General features: G+C 39.7%; 1 protein-coding gene across 14 annotated transcripts in view; it reads left to right on the top strand.

Moving 5' to 3' along the window:
* DOCK4 (dedicator of cytokinesis 4) overlaps positions 1-20855 on the top strand; it is a 480290-nt gene that overhangs the window by 400612 nt on the left and 58823 nt on the right. For all 14 annotated transcript variants that reach the window (XM_047421081.1, NM_014705.4, XM_006716189.3 and 11 more), the window contains exons 31-32: positions 15183-15331; positions 17041-17126. In XM_047421081.1, the coding sequence (XP_047277037.1) occupies positions 15183-15331; positions 17041-17126 (235 nt within the window). The remainder of the gene's footprint in view (positions 1-15182; positions 15332-17040; positions 17127-20855) is intronic.

Here is a 20855-nt window from a genome sequence, read left to right as displayed (position 1 = left end):
AAATACACATTTTGCTGGATAATACTTTTAAATCAGATTTGGTCATTGATGTTTACCTCTGAAGTGTTGAAATTCTTCCATATGCTAGAAACATGTTGTTTTTTTCCATTCCACTGAGGACACGGAGGGGAAAGACACATGTAATTCAGTGACTTGTCTGCTTTTAAACTTAAAGCTGTAGGATTTTAAAATCTGATCATTATATCCCTTAGCAACCTGTGAGCAATTTTTCAACCCTATGAGACCTAGAACTGCTTATGTTTACAGTGTTATTTTTAACCATAAATCATCTAACAGACATTTAGTTGTGTGTGCTTGAAATATTTTATAATTCTAAAATTACATAACAACTTGTCTGTAGTATTAAATGTGCTTTTATAATGATTATTTACATTAAGAAAGTTTAACCTTTGTTCTGAATTAGTAAATATTTGGATCCTTTAGTACATTTGTAGTTCACACAACTGGAGGAAGCGAGTTCTAACTTCTCTTCTGCTGTCGCCTCAGTCTTGGAGTTTTTGCAAGCAGGGCCATGAGCACCCATTTTTATGTCTACAGGAATGAATCCGTGGCTCTGCTAGTTCATGCTTCAGCCCTAGTTCTATGAGGTCTGGTTGGGAACATAGAAATAAAATCAAAAGGTTTTGTTGTCCAAAGACAACAAATAGTCCTCCACAGGTCAACAAGGCAGGGCTTCTCTTCTTCCCTTGTGAGACAGCAGTAGATCCTGGGGACAGAAAGGCTTTGAGCTCTTGCCTGGAACTTTAAGTCATGCTACCTGTCTCCAGTGCATACAGAGCACTGAACACATCATCCTGCTCATATAATTAAAATTTAGTTTTAAAACATTTTTTAATTGTGGTAAAATACAAATAAAATGTACATCTTGGTTGGGTGCAGTGGCTGACACCTGTAATCCCAGCATTTTGGGAGGCTGAGGTGGGTGGATCACGTGAGGTCAGGAGTTCGAGACCAGCCTGGCAAACATGACGAAACCCCGTCTCTGCTAAAAATATAAAAATTAGCTGGGTGTGGTGGCATATGCCTGTAATCCTAGCTACTTGGAAGGCAGAGGCAGGAGAATTGCTTGAATCTGGGAGGCAGAGGTTGCAGTGAGCCAAGATCGCGCCATTGCACTCCAGCATGGGGGACAGAGCGAGACTCTGTCTCAAAAAAAAAATAAAAATAAATATAAATAAATGTGCATTCTAACTATTTTTCAGGCCACAGCTCAGTGATATTAAGTATATTCACATTGCAATGCAACCATCACCACCATCCATCTCTAGAACTCTTTTCATCTTGTGAAGCTGAAACTCTATACCCAATAAACAATAACTTCTCATTCCCCTGTCTCCCCAGCCCCTGGTACTACCATTCTACTTTCTGTCTCTATGAATTTAACTACTCTAGGTACCTCACGTAAGTGGAATCATACAGAATTTATCTTTTTGTAACTGGCTTATTTTGCTTAACAGATTGTCCTCAAGATTCATTCATGTTGTAATGTATCAAAATTTTCCTTTTTAAGGCTGAATAATATTCTGTCGTATGGATATACCACATTTTCTTTATTCATTCATTCCTCAGTGGACATTTGGGTTGCTTCTGCCTTTTGTCTATTGTGAATAGTGCTGCTCTGAACGTGGGCATATAAAATATCTCTGAGAATCTGGCTTTCAGTTCTTTTGGGTACATAGCCAGAAGTGGAATTGCTGGATCATATGGGAATTCTATTGTTAATTTTTTGAGGAACTGTTCTCCACAGCTGCTGTAACATTTTACATTCTCACCAACAGAACACACACATTCTAGTTTCTCCATTTTCTCTCCAGCATTTGTTATTTCCTGGTTTTTTGACAGTAGTCATCCTAATGGGTGTGAGGTGGTATCTCATTTGCAGTTTTGGTAAAATAATGTATTTTTAGAGCATAAAAGCCAACTAGTGATAAGTAAACACCTTTTCTTAAATATGGTATTCCTCAGCGTTTTCATTTTCTAAGTTGAAGGACTAAAAAATGTTCTATCAAGAGCCGTGGCAGAGGAAGGCATATATTTTCCCCCAAAACTTTACCCGTCTGTACCCCTACTTGCAAGAACAGAGAAAAAGGTTAGTCTTTACTAGAATGTTCCAGTGTTGGCTTTTATCTTTCTTCAAGGTTAAGTTTTTCTTTCTATTTTTAGATGAACTAACATTCTTACTAAATATAAAGTGAGCTCTTTGTTCCACATTTGCAAACACAGTGTCTTGTAACTGCTGTAGAAAAAAAAATCAATACTTCCCTAGCAGGCTGTTCTGTGTGCATAAATATAAAACTCCAACAGTCCAAGTAGCAGGTGCCCTAAATACTTCAAAATAAGACCATGTGGCCAACAATTAGAGGTAGAGAAAGTATACTAAATCTATGGTTTAAAAAGAAATCATTTAAATGAAGTTTATTTTGCTGTTGCCATACATAGCTCAAAATTGCTTTGCTGGTTCTGTAGGAATTAAATTTTCTGTGGTTGGAGAGCCTGTTCAGGTTTGCAGATTCCGTGTTCCCAAAGTATGTTTTCAGCAAATAAGCTATTCTCATGCATTCCTGCACAATGACTTAAATGTAGGTGTGGCTTCTCTGACCTTCTTAACTGTCAATGGAAAAAATCAGGCTGCAGAATGTAGTATATGGACCTTGTTTGAATTGTGATTGAAAGAAACCAGCTATACATGACATGTTTTAAGACCATCAAAGGAAATTTTAATATAGGCTGGGTTTTTAATTAATTTAAGGAATTTTTATTTCTTTTTTAGGTGTGATAAAGGCATTAGGGTTCTATATTTGTAAAATGTCCTATCTGTTAAAGATGCTTACAGATGTATGTACAAGTAGACTGATAACAATGTCTCAGGCCTGCTTTAAAGTACTCTAGAAAAAAAATAGTTGGGGTATTAGGTAAAATGGGAAGGACAAGAGTCTTGATAATCACTGAAGCTAGATGATGGATGTATGGATTTTTTTTAACTATTTTCTGTGATTTTGTGTGCGTTTGAAATTTTTCATATTAAAAAGAAATTTGAAGAAAATTTGATTGTAAAATATCATAAGTGGAAGAGATTTTTTTTAAGAGATTCAAAAGTACTCAAGCAAGTGCATGCTAATATGGTCTTCATTAGAGAGGCCAAGGGATGCCAGGCTCCGGAAAGACTAAAGACCAAGATAGTAACATAGAAGCTCTGAATCTCATCTACCAGCTCAGGCATGGGAGAACTATTCCGGCTGGCAGGAAATTCAGTTTCATTTTGTATTCCCTCTCTCTTCCATCCCCCTTTTTTCACACATACCCAAAAGCTGTGCAAAGGTTTAGTGTCTTACACAGTGTCAAGGCAGCAGAGAGAGCATAGCTGGGGCTCTGCTGGGGCACAGCCTCTGTGGCTGGACTTTGAGCCCCTGCAGCCATCTCATGAGGCAGGGTTATGGAAGAAATGCAAGACCTGTTAATCTCAGAATTTGTGAGCCTTTGCCCCAACAGAAATTTTCTTCCCCCTTTTGTCTTTCCCCCCACTCAATTTCCAGGACATCTTGGTGAGCTGTTTAGTGGGTTTAGGCTTTTTAAAATGACAGTAAGAGTGATTGAGTTCAGGTTGCACAGGTTTTCTACCCTGATAAAAATAACTGAGGGAAGGAATTGCAAATGCTAGCTGCTAGTTACTGGCTGGAATTGTATGTGTTGATAGAATGAGGAAAATATAGGGAGAGCTATGAATTTATATTTCAGTGAGTTTGTCAGTCTTGAAAGTATTTATTCTGGCTGGGCACGGTGGCTCACGCCTGTAATCCCAGCACTTTGGGAGGCCAAGGCAGGCAGTTAATGAGGTCAGGAGGTTAAGACTATCCTGGCTAACATGGTGAAACCCCGTCTCTACTAAAAATACAAAAAAAAAAAAAAAAAATTAGCCCAGCGTGTTGATGGGCGCCTGTAGTCCCAGATACTTGGGAGGCCGAGGCAGGAGAATGGCGTGAACCCAGGAGGCGGAGCTTGCAGTGAGCTGAGATCGCACCACTGCATTCCAGCCTGGGCAACAGAGCGAGACTCTGTCTCAAAAAAAAAAAAAAAAAAAAGGAAAAAAGAAAAGAAATAAAAAGTTTCTTTTGAGGTATTCTTGCTCTGATGAGGAAAACTAAGCAGTCCTTTGGGAAAGACAAAAGAATATCTAGGTCAAAAATAAAGGTAGGAATGCAAAAGGATTTATGAGCCATGTTTCTTCCTCACACATAATGGGTATGGAAAAGTGATTTAGAGATAGTGATGACATGGCTCTGATGAATGGAAGAACACCAGGGTTTTTGGTCTTGCGCCAATTTAGATAAAAGGACACGCACACATGTGGTGTGGTTTTAAGGAGCGAAAAGTTTAACAGGCAAGAAAGAAGAAAACAGCTCCCTTGTACAGAGACAGAGGTGGGGAGGCTTGAAACAAAGAGACTGCATGAGCAGCGGAAAAATGATCAGTTATATCAGAGGCTGAAGGAGGCGATGTTTGATTTGCATGGGCCCAGAGGATTGGTTTGACCAGGTGTGTCATTCACACAGTCCGCAAAAAACCTGGCCCTCCCACCTTAGTCCTTTAATATGCAAATGTGGGTCGCCATGATGTTCTGAACACATGGTGTTATCCGGAGGTGGCCATGACACTTGGCACAGGTGGTAGGAATCGCCATATTGCCCATGTCAGATGAACCTAGTTTTTAATCACTGGCATTTGCATATCAAAGTTTTCCAGCCTGGCTCTTCAGCCGCCTTTTCTGTTAGAGAAGAAATGTTTCGGGCGGTTGCTTTTTATTGCAGGAAAATTTTCACAGAGAACCTTTACCACTACTATCAGCCTGAAAGTTATTTCTTAATAACTCCTGTATTATTCCCCCTTTAAAGAGACGTAAACCTAACTGCTGTTAGGGGGTGTTGGATGACGATTCTTTCTGGCTACTTCCTGTTGAAAAGGGGTGTCGTGTGGGGGAACAGCAGTTGGGCCTTCTCCTGAGGTTGATTTAAGGGTTTTTGGAAGAATAGCGTGTCTGTGTTTGGCTTTGTTTGCAGCACTGTTTGGAGTTTGGTTACCTTTAGGCGAAAAAAGATAAATTTTACAAGAAAGTTTAAAATACAGAGTTAGAATATAAGCATTAAGATTACCACCATTAGTGGGGGTCCTATAGACCATAACTGACAGTAGAGTTTGACACCTGTTTGTTACACCAGTGGATTGCAATACCGTTTTGTTTTTACTAGATGTCGCTGTACATTACCAGAAACGTTAACATAAAAGTAACATTTTTCTTGAGGAAAAGCATATATTTCCCCCTTGACTTGCCATTAGAGAGGAATTTTAGGCTTAGGCTATTTTTATAACTTGCAATATGATCGGGAGAGATATGTTATTGGGTGGCTAAAATAATTTTAGCATTAATTTGACAATTTATTAATTTTTTTATAGCTTCCACAGACTACAACATACTTAAACTTTCTGACTTGTTCTAAACATCTTTCCTTCAAATAACCAGTTGTTGTTGTTGCTGTTTTTTTTTTTTTAGGACAAGTATTTACCATACAAAATCTTTCCTTATATAAAATCTTTTTTAAATAACAGTCTTTTCCTAGCTTAAAGTGCATTGTATTATCAACCTTTAGTAAAAAAGTCGTATTAAACTTAGTGATAGTAAAACTTTTATACTTACTTTTTATCCCTATTACTTTTGCTATAACCAAAACAACCTTGAGTAAATCTTTCCTGCAATTATTAATCCTGTTATAAGGATGATAATCAGGCAAAATATTACAGCAATTAGAATTTTACAACCAGAATTCCACATTGTGGGTGACACAGTGTATAGTTTTATTGCAATTAGTAGTGGGATGATAACAGTTTCCACAAGAGTGGCATAGTAAATAATTTCCATATAAAATTATTTCTTTACTTGCCAAGATGTAATCTTCTTTGTGGGTTTATAAAGTTACAAATGCAATCCCATGTATAATTAAAAGTTGCTTGCAAATATGAGTTAAAAAGAAGTTTTAATATTTGGTGGTGAACTTTGAGAGGAAAGGTTAGGTAGGAGTGGGATTAAGATGAATAGCCCTTACTTAGTTACTTATTTTTTATGAGTTTTAGCTTAAGATTTTCTGTTTCTTCACATTTATGTTTAGGACATTCCTCTGGGCTGTCAGGGGTTGCTCCCTTAGCTTTTTAGACTTTGACTTGAATGTGATGTATCCAGAAGTTGGTTTCTGTAACTTTTATTGCCAAAGGGGTTGAAAGAACAGTGTAGGGCCCTTTCCAGCTTGGCTTATGGAAGGAGAGAGAGATGAGAGTTTTTGCTAATACTAAATGTCTTGGGTCGAATAAAGGTGGCTCTGTTTTCTGGGGTTGGGCTTCTGCTAGTTGTGTCAATTTTTGTTGGAAGTAATAGGTTACATGCTTAACCAATTTAGAGGTTTTCTGCCTGAAAACAATATCTGAGCACATTGATAAGTTTTATCCTTTCCCAAGTGAAAAGCTTGGTGAAAGATTTTAAGGACTTTCCATTGGCTGGAGCCTGGCAAATGGAGTTTGCCATTATTTGACCATAGCAATTCTGAGGGCTGGAAAGTATGCCCTTGAGAAGTGGCCTCTTTTATTTCTGTAGGGAATACTGAAGTTTAATTTCTTTTATGGAGCCTTCCTAGATTAGAAGCAGTTTGAAGCATGTTGATGCCTTGAGGCTTCCTTGCCTTTGACCTAGCTGCCTGATTAGCCAATTTATTTCCTTTGGCTACCTCACTTGTTTCTTTCTGATGTCCCCTGCAATGCATTCTTGCTATTTCTTGTGGAAGAAAAACTGAGGATAATAACCTATTGATTTTCTGGTGATATTTTATAGGAGAGTCATTAGTGGTAAGAGAATATCTTTCCTTTCAAATGGCAACATGAGCATGGAAAATTAGGAAAGCATACTTGGAGTTAGTATAAATGTTAGCTACCTTTCCTTTGCTTAATTCAAGTGCTCTTGTAAGAGCTATTAGCTTAGCGAATTGAGCGCTGTGCCTGGGAAGAGATGTTATTTAGAGTGACTACTGCTTATCCTCCTTTTGTATTTCTTGTTTTACTGGCTGTTAGCTAAGAGCTTTCCCTAGAGGACAGTAATTCTGCCACAGTATGTGGGGTGTAAACAGTTAAATTATTTCCTAGGGTTAACTTGGAGGCTTTTTTTGCCTAGTAGAGCTATTATGACAGTGGCTTGGAAGCATGTGTATATAATAGGTCCTTTTAACTGCAACCAAGGTTGAGAAAAATATTGGATTAGAGTTTCTTCTGAGACACTCCTTACAGTCTTGCTATGGGAAGAGGGGAGGCCTGGATTAGAGAGGAGAAAAGAGAGAGACTGGCTTTAGTGTTTAGAAGGAGGTTTACTTTCCCTTCTTTAATTTTCAGCATTACTCAGGGCTCTTGTGCTATAATGGCAGTTTGAGCTGCTGGAGCCAGGGCTTGAGCCCTGGGACCCATCAGTCCTGCTGGACCATCTGTGAGACTGGTCCTGAACCCAGTGACCTCCACCTCTGGGGGCAGTTCTGTCTCCAGTGGTCTCTGCCACAGGCTGGACAGGGTTGAGGTGGCTTTTTCTTGCTGCCTGGGCCTTCCTTTTTAAAATTCCCTGGCCTGCTACCCTGATAGCAACTAGCAGATGCACCTCGGGGATCCTGGACTTTGCAAGCCTGCAAAGCTGCTGCTAGAGCCTTTGTCCTTCTCCTGAGATTTTTCTTTTTCCTTTGGGCCTCCTTCTGGTCCCTATTATAAAAGACCAAAGTGGTCACCATTAGGAGACTTTCTAAGGTGCTATTTGGTCCTATAGCTTGCTTTTGTAGTTTCCTTTTAATATTGGGAGCTGCCTGTGTAATAAACTTGTTTTTTAGAATGAGCCATCCCTTGATTGAATTAGGGGTAAGGGGTTGTATTCTATTAGCGTCTTTCTCAGCCTTTTCATAAAGGCTACAGGATTCTTATCTGTCTTTTGGTCTATTATAGACAGTTTAGAGTAATTAAGAGGTTTGGCCCTCATTTTCCATGGCCTTCTAAAATCATATTAAAAAGTGCTTTTTTCATTTATTTCCTGAGTTTTTGGGGTTTCAGTCAGAGTTGTTTACTGGAACTGCTTCCCTCCCAGTTGGGAATGGTGTTTCTACTATTTTTTTGCTTTCCTTATTTGCTTTCTTCCCTTTTGGTGTATTATAGGAAATATATTGCTCACCTCTGAAATTCTCTGTTGCTTGCACAGCTGCTTGCTTTTTAGCTGCCATTAGGGTCTGGTTTAGGAGCAGTATAACATCCTTCCATGTGAGGTGAAATACATGAGTTAAATTTTGGAAAACTTCTATATACCTATTAGGGTCTTCGGAAAATCAGCCTATGTTTTCCTTTATTTGCCTAAGGTTCTATAATGAGAAGGGAACTTAAAAGGGCCCCAAATAAGGGGGATTTTTAGATGGTTCCCCTGAAAGTTGCTTTTTTAATTTTGGGGAACTTTTTCCCTGGCTCTGTCTGATAAGATTGCTAAAAGAGCTGGGTTGATCTTACAGCACTTGCAAAGGTTTGGTAAAAATGCCCTGTCCTTGTGCAAAAGAAAATGAGTTGCTTTTCTCTTTAACGTTCTCAGGTTAAGGAAGTTCTGGTGTTTTAGAGTGCACTTCAGAGGGGTGTAAACTGAAGATAATTTATTACCCATTTAGAAAAAGAAGTGAGAATAAAAGCATTTTTTTAGTCTTCTTCGTTTCTGTATGACCCAGAGTGGAGGAGAAGACAGGGAGCATTCTCCGACTGTTTTCCCTTTCTGGTTTTTGGATCTCGGCACCATGTTAAACGTGCTGCCCATGGTTGAAGGCATGGTGCTGCAAGCCATGGAACTGGATGAACTAAGTGGTGGGACTAACCACGCTTACCCACGCAACCTTAGCTTGTCCACCTTGTATGATTCCCCCTTTCACTTCCTAAATTTGTGATTTGCCTGGCTTTCTAAAAAATGGATCTTGGAGAGCCTGTGTTGCCTTTGGGCAAGGCTTCTTTAACAGAGGAAACGTGCTAGATTGCCTGCTATTATGGCCCATGCTAAAGCACTTACCTTTAAAAAAAAATGGTTCTAGTTAACTTCCGAACTTAAAATCCCCTTACTAATTAAGTAACATTTTAATAGGAAACACTATAGGTGCCTTAGAAGAACGTAGAAACCAAATGGCCATCTTTTTTGCTGATGGGAAAATATTGAGACTAACATTTGACTACAGAAGATATCTTACTCCCAACTGCTGAAGGCAGAACTTTCCTCATCACAGAAGTAGCAGTAGAAAAACTTAAAAAGGAAAAGTTGCAAAGCTGCAATGTACTGCAGAGAACTAGCAATGTGTCCTGTATTAGTGAGAAACAATTAAGTTATGTTTGTTGAAACCTTGAGAGAGAGGAAAGGACTGCATGACTTTGGTGATGTAAAGGGACTTTCAGATGGGCACAGGTCTGAGGGTTGTGTTTGGAGCTGTATGTCTGGCTAGATAATCAAAGCACTTTGAGCACTTGAACTCACACTGACACTCAAGCCAAGGTAAAATCAGCCCGCCTCCTGTGATAGAGGGACACTCTCTGATGGTGTAAGGTCTCTGGGGAGCACCCATTCCCAAGAATGGGGGACCTCCCAGATGCCCCAGGGTGCAGCTAAAGGAGGGGGTGAACATCTTGCCAGCAGAGATCATGAGGACCTTGGTCCTCTAGGGCACTCAAGATACAGGCCAAGGGCAAGGAGATCCAGTTCCTAGTGGAGGCAGATATCTGAGACAGCCTTAGGACAGCATCACAGACTGTGGTTGAGAAGTTGATACAAAGCCCTCTATGTATCTTCAAGATAGAAGGTAGTTCAAACCAGTGGCCTCTGTCAAGGGTACCTTTTCCAGGAGGATGGAAATTCCAAGGGAATTCAGGCTTATGAAGGTCTTAGGCACAGAGCTTCCCATCTCTTCCTTATCACCATATTGGTCTGCAGAGGGTAGGCAGGACCCTGTTCAGAGGGCCTTTGACAGAGGGTACTGGTGCTTACATTCTAACTACTATAGCAGAGCTCCACTAATTACATGTGACAAAGTCGAAGATCAAAACACCAAAGTCATGTTAAAGAAATACATTGTCTCTGGGAGCTAGGAAGCCCACAGGTGGATCTGGCTTCAGGCATGATCATTTTCAAGAGGACACGCATCAGGGCTGGTTGTTTCCCAGCTCTCCTTTGTTCTGTGTGTTGACTTTAACCTCTGTGTACTCTTAGGCTTTCTCCACTCTGTGGGAAAATGGCTTCCATCAGCTTCAAGCCTATTTCTTCTTTTCAAAGTCCCTTTTAGAATGTCGCTCAGAGCCACAGATTGTTCCTGCTGGGTGATGTGCCTATCATGAACCGGTCCCTGGGGCCAGGGATGAAGCTGGGTTTTGTTTGTTTGTTTGTTTGTTTGTTTAGAGAAGTCCTTATGTTTCTCAGCTGTACTTCATTTTGGGCTTCCGTGATCCTCCTGCCTCAGCCTCCCAAGTAGCTGGGACTACCAGGAGTGCCACTGTACCCAGCTGAAGCTGGTTATTTGACAAGGCCCAGGTGATATGCCTACTCTTGAGGCTGGGGCAGTAGAGTGAGGACTCCCCAACCCCATCCCAACCACATGGAATGATGGATTAATATGGGACAAATGACACATGTGATTGCACTCTCCCATCAGAAAGATAAAAAAAATCCCTCTTCCTTTCCACCCCTCAAGTTCCTAAATGGCTTTCTTGCATTTACTCTCAGACAACTTTAAGAGGAGAAATTGGAAATCCTTGCCAGCTCACCTTGTCTCTCTCTCTTTTTACTTTGTAATTCATTGTAATCAGGTTTTCACTTGCATTACTCTTCTGCCACATCTAAAGGCCTGTAGTGAGTCCCATTCCTAGGAGAGTGATTAAGAATTCATTGTAGAGCCAGCTAGCTGGGTGACTTCGGGCAAGTTGCCTAACTTCCCAGGATTTTAGCTGCCTTCTCTGTAAGTGGGAGGTTGATAGTTCCTACCACCTAGAGTTGTTGTAGGGAGCAAATGAAATTACACATGTAAAGCACCCAGAGCAGTGCCTGCCATAGGGAATGCTTACAAGTAACAGATGTTATTAAGGAGTCACTGCATTTGACAACCTTGCCCCTCTTTGCTTCTGAAAGCCTTCTCTTCTCTATCATTTCCCATCACCACTTTCCCACTTCTCCTTCCCTACCCTGCACCATGTCTCTTTAGTCAGCTCCTCTCTTGTCCCGGCACATGTGTGCCCAGGCTGTCCTGTTCCTTTTGTTCCTCTTATATTTTGCCACAGGTTTCCCCCATGTGATTTCATTCACCCTGTTTATCACTGAAAGTTCTGAAATAGTACATCTCCAGCCCAGGCCTCTGTCTCGAGCCCCAGACCAGGCTCTTTGACACCTGCTAGAGTATTCAGTGTTAGAAGTACCTCAAACATGCCCCAAACTGAAGTTGTGATCTTGCCTTCCATCTTAAGTTGGCTCCTGTTTCTATAAATTTGATATCATTTAATAGCAGTGTTTACTCTCACTCATGCTCTTGCCCCTTTTCTCTATTACCATGGCTGCTGCTTTTGAACCAATCTTTGTCATATTTACTTGGATAACCTACTTGGCCCTCCAGCATCTGTGTCCCCACTACAGCCCATCTTCCACACTCTCCCAGTTATTTTTATACAAAATAAAGCTCTAATTGGCCACCACCACTGACAGCTGAACTACCCAACTACCTCTTCCACTCAGCTTAGCTTACAAACCAAGCCACCCTCATTGCCAGCACATCCCTCATCCAACCCTGACCCCTGCCACACTGAACTTCTGAGCGTGACACACCATGCCTGGCTAACTTTTTGTATTTTTTTACAGATGAGGTTGCACCATGTTGCCCAGGCTGGTCTTGAACTCCTGGGCTCAAGCGATTCTCCTGCCTTGGCCTCCCAAAGTGCTGGGACTGCAGGCGTTGAACCACTGCACCAGGCCCTTTGTTTTTTCTTGATACTAGATTTATAGCTTAGCAATAGCCCAAATACCCATTGTGATTAGCTATTTACAAGTATTTTTCCTAATACAGTGTTTAAAATACACTAGACATTCTTATTTCTTGAGTCACTGAATGAATAGATTAATGACTGAATGAGTTAATAAAATGGAAATACAGTAAACACATACAATATACAATAAGGTACATTTTTATGATCTTGACATTCTCCAAACTTCCCAAACAATTAAATGAATACTTTGTTCCTTATCAAAACATGTACAAGAAAGAAGTAAGCACTACTGCTTTGTCTCTCTTTGTGTTTATAGTAATTTCAATACTTAAAAATTCAAACCATTGCTTTGACTGCTGTAATGCCTTGTTGAGGAAAGTTGATGTATAGAGACAGAAGATACCATGACCTCTCTGGCTTATAGACTGTGGGGAAGTTTTTCTAAATTCTCTTCTCTCACACTGGTAGCATATGCAGCATTGCAACATGGCCCTTCAAATCTAAAATATTTAGCTGTGTGCAGTAACAGGTACCCTTCCGTGTCATTGAGAGAGGGAGGAAAGTTTTATCATGACAGAAATGCTCATACTCTGAGGATATAATAGAGAGTGAATACTTGAGGGTAGAATTAATCAAACAACTCTTCTTGATGCTGGATATTTTAGCCTAAAGGAAAATATAATACATGAGTTTAGCTTTTAATGTTTCAACAGCTTCACTGATTGTCCAGAAGTCATTGTGTGCCCACTTTCCTCATGTGTTCATCTATTGCCAGTGTTACTTTCTGTGCCAAGATATGAAAAACTTGCTATTGACTTGGTCATGCTCTTGCCAACACCTCATAGCACTGAAAATAAGGCGATTATCCAGAGATGGGGGCCCACCTTCCAAAGACAGTGGAGGTTTCCCAAGGCACTTCCAATCACAAAAAACAGTGAATTCACAAACATCCACATGTTTTCCCAGCTCTCATCTCAGTCATCATTTTAGCTGCTCCCCAGATTCTTTCATATTCATGTTACTTAAAAAAAACCCTGTAAGCCAGGCGCAGCGGCTCACGCCTGTAAACCCAGCACTTTGGGAGGCTGAGGCGGGTGGATCACCTGAGGTCAGGAGTTCAAGACCAGCCTGGGCAACATGGTAAAACCCCGTCTCTACTAAAAATACAAAAATTAGCTGGGCGTGGTGGTGCGTGCCTGTAACCCTAGCTACTCAGGAGGCTGAGGCAGGAGAATCACTTGAGCCTGGGAGGCAGAGGTTGCAGTGAGCCGAGATTGTGCCATTGCACTCCAGCCTGGGCGACAGAGTGAGACTCTGTCTCAATAACAACAACAACAACAACAAAAACCCTCTAAAGTCATTTATACTACCTATGCACTGTGAATCTACAGTGTCACTGGAAAATTACCTTCCTTTATGAAGCCAGCTATCTTTCTGCTCAGCCTCCCAACTTGTAAATTCTAAGTGGATGCTCTCAGTAGCATGTGCTTTCAGCCATGATGCTGAAGGTTAGCTCTTGAGTGTGTTTTTCATAGCATGCAATAGTCATATTATAGAACTAGAAACTTATGAGATTTAACAAAGATGATTAGCGTAATAGACTTAACACTCACCAGCATAATAGACTTAAAACTCACCTGCTACATGAAATCATCTGTGTCCATACCATTCCCCACCTTCCTTTCCTCTGAATTATCAATACCATACCTTTTAGCACTTGGTAAAACACCATTGTGGGTTCACTATTGTTACATTTTAGTCTTTTCAGAAAATGTTTATATTCTTTTGGGGGGACCACTATTTAAATTTTTATGTAAGTTGTGTATTTATTCTGTTAAGAAAAAACACAAGGGGCCCAGCCTGGTGGCTCATGCTTGTAATCCCAGCACTTTGGGAGGCCGAGGCGGGTGGATGGCTTGAGCCCAGGAATTCAAGGCAATGTTGTGAGACTCCATCTCTATTTTTTAAAAAACAGGCTGGGCGCGATAGCTCATGCCTGTAATCCTAGCACTTTGGGAGGCCAAGCTGGGCGGATCACATGAGGTCAGGAGTTTGATACCAGCCTGGCCAACATGGTGAAACCCCATCTCTACTAAAATACAAAAATTAGCTGGCCATGGTGTCATGTGCCTGTAAATCCCAGCTACCCAGGAGGCTGAGACAGGAGATGTGCTTCAGCCTGGGAGGCAGAGGTAGCAGTGAGCTGTTTGTGTCACTGCACTCCAGCCTGGGTGACAGAGCAAGACTCCATGTCAAAAAAAAAACAAAAAAAACAGACACTCGAGAAAAATTATATCATAGAGATAAGAACCACCTAGCCACCTTTTTTCATATAAAAAAATCACCCGTAATCTCACCATCCAGAGATAACCTCTGTGGTTAACATTAGGGATATAATACTCTAGACTAAGATATATGTGTGTGTGTGTGTGTGTGTGTGTGTGTATTTTTTAAATTAAAAATATTCCTATACATACTGTATTGCACTTGCTTTTTTGCTTAATTATATTGAAAAACTTCACCTATGTTATCTTTCTTCAGCCTTATGTTAAATGATCACATAAAAATTTTAATGTGTGCATATACAATAATGTACATAACCAATTCCTGATGATTTATTTTATATATATATATATATATATATATATATAATTTTTTTTTTTTGAGACAGAGTCTTGCTCTGTCACCCAGGCTAGAGTGCAGTGGCACGATCTTGGCTCACTGCAAGCTCCGCCTCCCGGGTTCATGCCATTCTCCTGCCTCAGCCTCCCAAGTAGCTGGGACTACAGGCACCCACCACCCCGCCCGGCTAATTGTTTGTATTTTTAGTAGAGATGGGGTTTCACCGTGTTAGCCAGGATGGTCTCGATCTCCTGACCTCGTGATCTGCAGCCTCAGCCTCCCAAAGTGCTGGGATTACAGGCGTGAGCCACTGCACCCAGCCGATTTATATAATTTTTAATTGTATCTCATGGGTTATTATATTTTCTTGCTTGAGGAGACGACTATAATTGAATATATTTCTAGCAATAGTTTTAAACAAATTTTATGATATTAATTTCTGAAATCATATTAAGATTGAATATATTGAAACTCAAATATTTTTCTCACTTTAGGAGAGCACAAGCTTCATTTTATCCCTGCCCTGATTGGCCCCTTCCTAGAAGTGACCTTGATACCCCAGCCAGATCTTCGGAATGTCATGATTCCAATTTTTCATGATATGATGGACTGGGAGCAGAGGCGGAGTGGCAACTTTAAACAGGTAGGCAGAAGTGCTCCTCAGAAGAGTTGGAAGAGTTTCAGCTCTCCTGAAGCATCTGTGAACTTCTGGATTCAACTCCAACTTGGGAAATGAACACTGGGTCAGCAGACCTAGATTCCAGCCTGGCCTATCCACTCCCAAGCCACACAGCCGTGGATACTTCTCAGATCCTGTGTTGTCCTGAGCCTTCAGTGAAGCCCTGAAAACCATTTGATTCCTTTTCAGCTGAAAAATTTTGTGATTTCCCAGATCTGTATTTAAGAACTTGCAGAGACTTTATTTGCACCCAGTTGGACACAGAGCAGAAGAATCAGAGAGTTAATGATTAAACTCATTGAGCTCTCAGTGGTCTGCACATTGTATTTGGCAAATGGCTTAGCTTTGAGCATTTGATTTACAGTATGTTTTATTGCTCTTTGCTTGAAGCATTGAGAATTAATTTAAAGGAGAAAGCTGTGGAAATTCTTACAGAGGAAATTCCAAGGGAATGAGCTTACCATTTCTCATTGACATAGGTTCTAATAGTTATACTCCAGTTTTGGGAAAACAGGCTTATTACAAAACCAGATCTCTGAAGGAATTCACTGCTTTTGCTCTGCCAGGTCCTTCAATTTGGAGATAGTAGGCCTACTGTCTGTTCACACAGTCATGGCACAAACCTGTGTGCCCACAGGGTTTGACCCTTCCTCATGTTTCTCCAGAAGAAGCCTCCCTCAAATCTCAGGAATGGTTGTCAACCAGTCAAGCAATCTGACTGCAGACATGGAACCCTCCTATTGCCAAAAGCATGGGTGTTTCACCTGTATCGGTATACACATTTATTTTCAAGAAAGCTAATAGATGAATGAAAGACTATTTAAAAATTGTACTTAGGAAAGAAAAACCCACTTTCCTTCCCCCTTGTCTTTATCTCTTGATTGAAATTTGGTTTAAAGGAATAATAATTGGGCTTAGTCTTTTGACAAAGTCAAATATTCCTCCCAGTCCCTAATCGTTTTAACTCTCTCTGGCCATAGAGAAGTTTTTCATTTTCTGTCTCTTCTGCCTCAGATAGACATAGATAAAGGGATATTTTTCCATTCCTGATATTCAAGTTCCAAAGGATTTACATCCTGGAAAATATAAATGTTTTGACTACAGTTTTCAGGAAATATGTCCTTTCTCTCTCTTGCTGCTTATTGCTGACTTAGACTATTGCTATGGATCTACCATCTGTACGTGGGTAAGGCAAGTTCTCAACTTCAGCAAAGATTTAGTGCAACCTCAAACTGTTTTGAGAAAGAAAATAGATATAAAACACATCAAAGATTTAAATTAATGTATGTGGATATGTTAGTTTCCTGATGTCCTTATATATAGTGATGTTTAAAAAAAAGAAAAAAGAAACAGGACTTGCCAGTTTTTTAGCTCCTAAAAAAGAATTCAAACGTTTAAACTGGGCTGCAAGCATTTGTGTTTGAATCAACAAATAGATAGATGTCTTTGGCAGCAGTAAACGCTACCCAGCCAGGAGTGTGAAGTCATGTAACTCTATCTAGATTAGTCCCTTAGAATTCCAAAGGGTTGCCTGCTATTAACCGTAGCTGATAATGTCACTTTCACAAAATTTACCATGGCTTTTTCCTTGGCACAAAGAAATACGTTTTAACTTGCCTAGAAATCCTACTTGTGAAGGGGAGGAAAGAGAATAATAGTTGGGTATGTTTCAGGTGGAAGCCAAGCTAATTGACAAACTGGATAGCCTGATGTCAGAAGGCAAAGGTGACGAAACATACCGCGAGCTCTTCAACAGTATGTGAGTAATATGTTTATCTCAAGTTGATTCCATTCTGGGGGATTTGGTGTCAGTACTGAGCCTCTCTGCACCACGGTAGCTGAGAGCTGCAAAGACAGCTTAGGTCTCACAGGAGGGCTTTGTCTTTGTGGAGTGTGAAATAAAGGATAATTGCCTAACTCTGGCGAATGGATCTTATAATGTTGATGATTAGGCATGTCTTCCTGTTTTAATCTCTGATTAGGACAGGTTGCATATGTTACATAACAAATCTCCCTCTTTTCATGCCTGATAATTTTAAAACCATTCCTGCAAGATAATGATTTTAAGTGGGGTTATAAGTGGGAGAGGAGAAAAGGGGTGTGATTGTAATGTTTGTGTGCACTGCTTTCCAAAGCAAGATACTGATGCTGATTTGCTGTTGGAAAATTAACCTAGTTTGCATCTGTTCTTCAACACCTGATTTAATTAATTAATACTGATTGTTCGCTCAGCATTAATTGCTTCCTAAATGCTTTTTATTAGAATATCTCAGAAGCAAATCACTTTTAGTAAATTCTGTGTTTTGGATTTGTATGGAAGATAGAGAAATAATGGAATGCTGTAAAGAGACTTTAAGGTTGCCCTACCCATAGAATCTGATCATAGCCACAGGATGAATTGCTTGTACCAAGTATTCATGCGTTGTGTTTAAATGGCCAGAAGATACAGTGAGAATGTTTTAGTGCTTTGGGATTTCACTTCTGGCACTTGTTTTCTCTACAGCTTCCTATGGATCTTAGTCATTTTCAAATCTAACATATGTGCAAAGTATTTCTTTTTGAAAGAAGAATTTGCTTATTGTGCTTGAAAAATGTTTGCAGTTCTTTCAGAAGTGCAAAATAATGCAGTAACACATTTTTTTCTATGACAAAATATATTCGTGTTTGTATTTATGCCCAAGTATCACCTAAAACTAAATATCAGTGCTTTAGTATTGATGGCCAGGTCCAAAACTTTATGATCATGAATTTACAACAGTAGAAACATTAATATATAGGCTTGAAGAATATAATTAGTGACTAATAGGTTAGATAGATTTCAGCATGCCTGATTAAAAATTATCTTGAAGCTTTTAAGAAAATTACATTAAAAGGAAAAGCCAAGAAGGGTATAGAGATTTCCTGTGGTAGTGGTGGGTGATAAAATATATTCTTTGTACTGGATTCTGAACAGTATCATTTTTTTCTGATATGGTAATTAAATGAGAGGTTTTCATAATTATTCACCAAGACCTCATTCATTCTAGTGTACACAGCTTCAGTCTTTTATGGCAGCTTGGAGTTTAGCAAGAATTCTGATTAAAATCTCATGCAGTATAATAAATTGCTTTTGAAAACTGCTCTCATTTCAGTTACTAGTCCTTGGTTTGAACAAAGAACCAAAATGAGAAAGCACTCAGTGAAATGAATCTCTTGAGATTTGTGATTAATTATTTATAACAAATTCACAAGATTAATAAATACTGACATAGTTCTTTAGTGCCTCTTATCTACTTTAATAAAGGCTTGATAATATGCAATTTCAGTTGCTCATGTATAAATATGACTTTGAAATAGAAGATGTACCTCGACATGAGAATCAAACCAATAATTAAAATATTAAGCCTCTATAATCAGGACTATTTTAAGGTACCTGATTCATTCAATAGAGATTTTTATACTTTTGTTGATTTTTAGGATATTACTAGAAATGCTACTATAAATAATTTCCTTTCATGCTTTTACGATCAGCATATTGGGAATAAATCAAATCAAAAGTGATACTTAAGTGTCATTACTACCTGAGCACAAGAAAGAAGGCGTAAATATTACTTTATTTCAGGAAACAATAAATTGCTTTTTTGGCAACAGAAATCACAATGAATTAGTATAATCACAATGGGTCACTGCACACATTATGAATTAGGAACACATGCCGTTATATGGTACAAATTCTCATTTGTTACGTGTAATTCATGTCTAAAACCTCTTAAAATTTGTTCTGAAGCTGAAAAGCTGTAAGTAGTTCACTGCTTCCTAAATTGTAGTGCTTGCCAAAATGGACCCCTTGGAGTAAGACTTTAAATTTGTCTAGTACCTTCCTTGCTAAGAACTCAACTCATCTTTCCCTAAGCCCAAACATTATCTTCATTAATGCATACTACATCTTTGTGAAACTTATTTCATAAAGATGTATTCATTTTGATAACACTGAAATTCTAGATTATAGACACCAACATGCAATATCCAGAATAGAGTATCACAACTAAATTCTGCTTCCCCTGGCTCCACCTGATTCGCTCATTCCGCTTTATCTATTGGGCACTCCCCAGGGCTGGGGATCCAGCAGTGACTGTGCTGTGGAAGCATACAGTAGGTCTACCTACAGTCTTGGGGGCTCTAAAGGGGCTTTCCAGAAGAAGTAACATTCATCTCAGGTATTTCTTAGTCTTTCGCTCTGCCTTCTCCTATGCAGTTCTAAATAATTCAATAAGACTCCACATTATTTCAAAGATTTTTAGTGATCACACATTTAATTACCATTTGGAGACAGAGAATTCACTATGTGACACCATACCTTACATCTCTAACTCTACTCTTTGGATTAAAAAGAGCATGCACAGACACAGGTGTTATATATTAGAGTGATGACTTCTACGTAACCCCATTATGATACCGAGAGAGGGAGATTGAGGGTGAAATCCCCGACACACACACAGATTTCTTTCATAGAGTGAAAACCTGGTGAGCAGAGTCATCCCTGCAGGGCCATGGCTTGTCTTGCTTCCCAGGGTTAGGAATTTCTATTGCATAGAACAGAGCAGCCTTATCAATTAGCAATGAGAAACCCCCTTTCACTGTTATCAGGGTTCCCTAGCTCAATGTGGGCACATGGGCATTATTATAGAGTAAATGAAAATACCCACTCTCACCCGGGTTACCTAGAAAGACTCTTCTCTTCTTGATGATAGCCTCTCTTTCTCAGTTTGTATCAGGTAAACAGGGAAATGGCAAGATTCCCAAGAGAGGGAACAAGGCTGGCTGAGCACACAGATGATCTGGGTTTTAGACTCAGTCCTAACATTTGGTCTTGAGTTAGTCAAGGAAACAGGTTGTGCATAACTTTGCCTCTTCTTACAAGAGGATTATGTAGCTCTTACTGCATCAGAAGTCTGTGCAAATTAATGAAACTTATGCCCATAAAAGAAGTCTCCATGTATTTTTAGAATTATTACCTAACTTGAGTTCTTTGTTTTTCAGCCTCTAAAGTATGAGGTGTAGGCTGTCACGGGGAAATTTCTACATCATTCCGCATTGCTTTTTGGCAGGCAGATTTTCATTTGAGTTCAATACAATTTGCAATTTAAGCCTGAAAGAGGTGCTGTTCAGAGGTTTTTAAAAGAAAACACATTTTAAACAAACTAGGGGACCTTCGCTTGCAGGACTGGTCAGGGCAGATTCCATCCCTTCCATATGCAGTTTCCACTCTTAACCTAAGAAACAGTTTAGAATAAACCAGAAAAACAGGATGAGGGATGCACAGGAAACACAGGAGGAGACAAGACAGAAGGCTGGGCACTAGAATGCCAATAACAAGAGAAAGAGGTAGGGGATGATGGAGAGAAAACTTGGGAGAGAACATAGCCACAGACAAGAGAAAGCTTTGACAAAACAGCTTTCTTCTTGAATGTTTATTTTTGAACTAAGTACATATATGATATGCTTAGAC

Source organism: Homo sapiens, chromosome 7 (assembly GCF_000001405.40).
Source record: "Homo sapiens chromosome 7, GRCh38.p14 Primary Assembly".
Taxonomy (NCBI): domain Eukaryota; kingdom Metazoa; phylum Chordata; class Mammalia; order Primates; family Hominidae; genus Homo; species Homo sapiens.
Note: the sequence above shows the minus strand (reverse complement) of the source record. Positions and strands in the feature narration are given on the sequence as shown.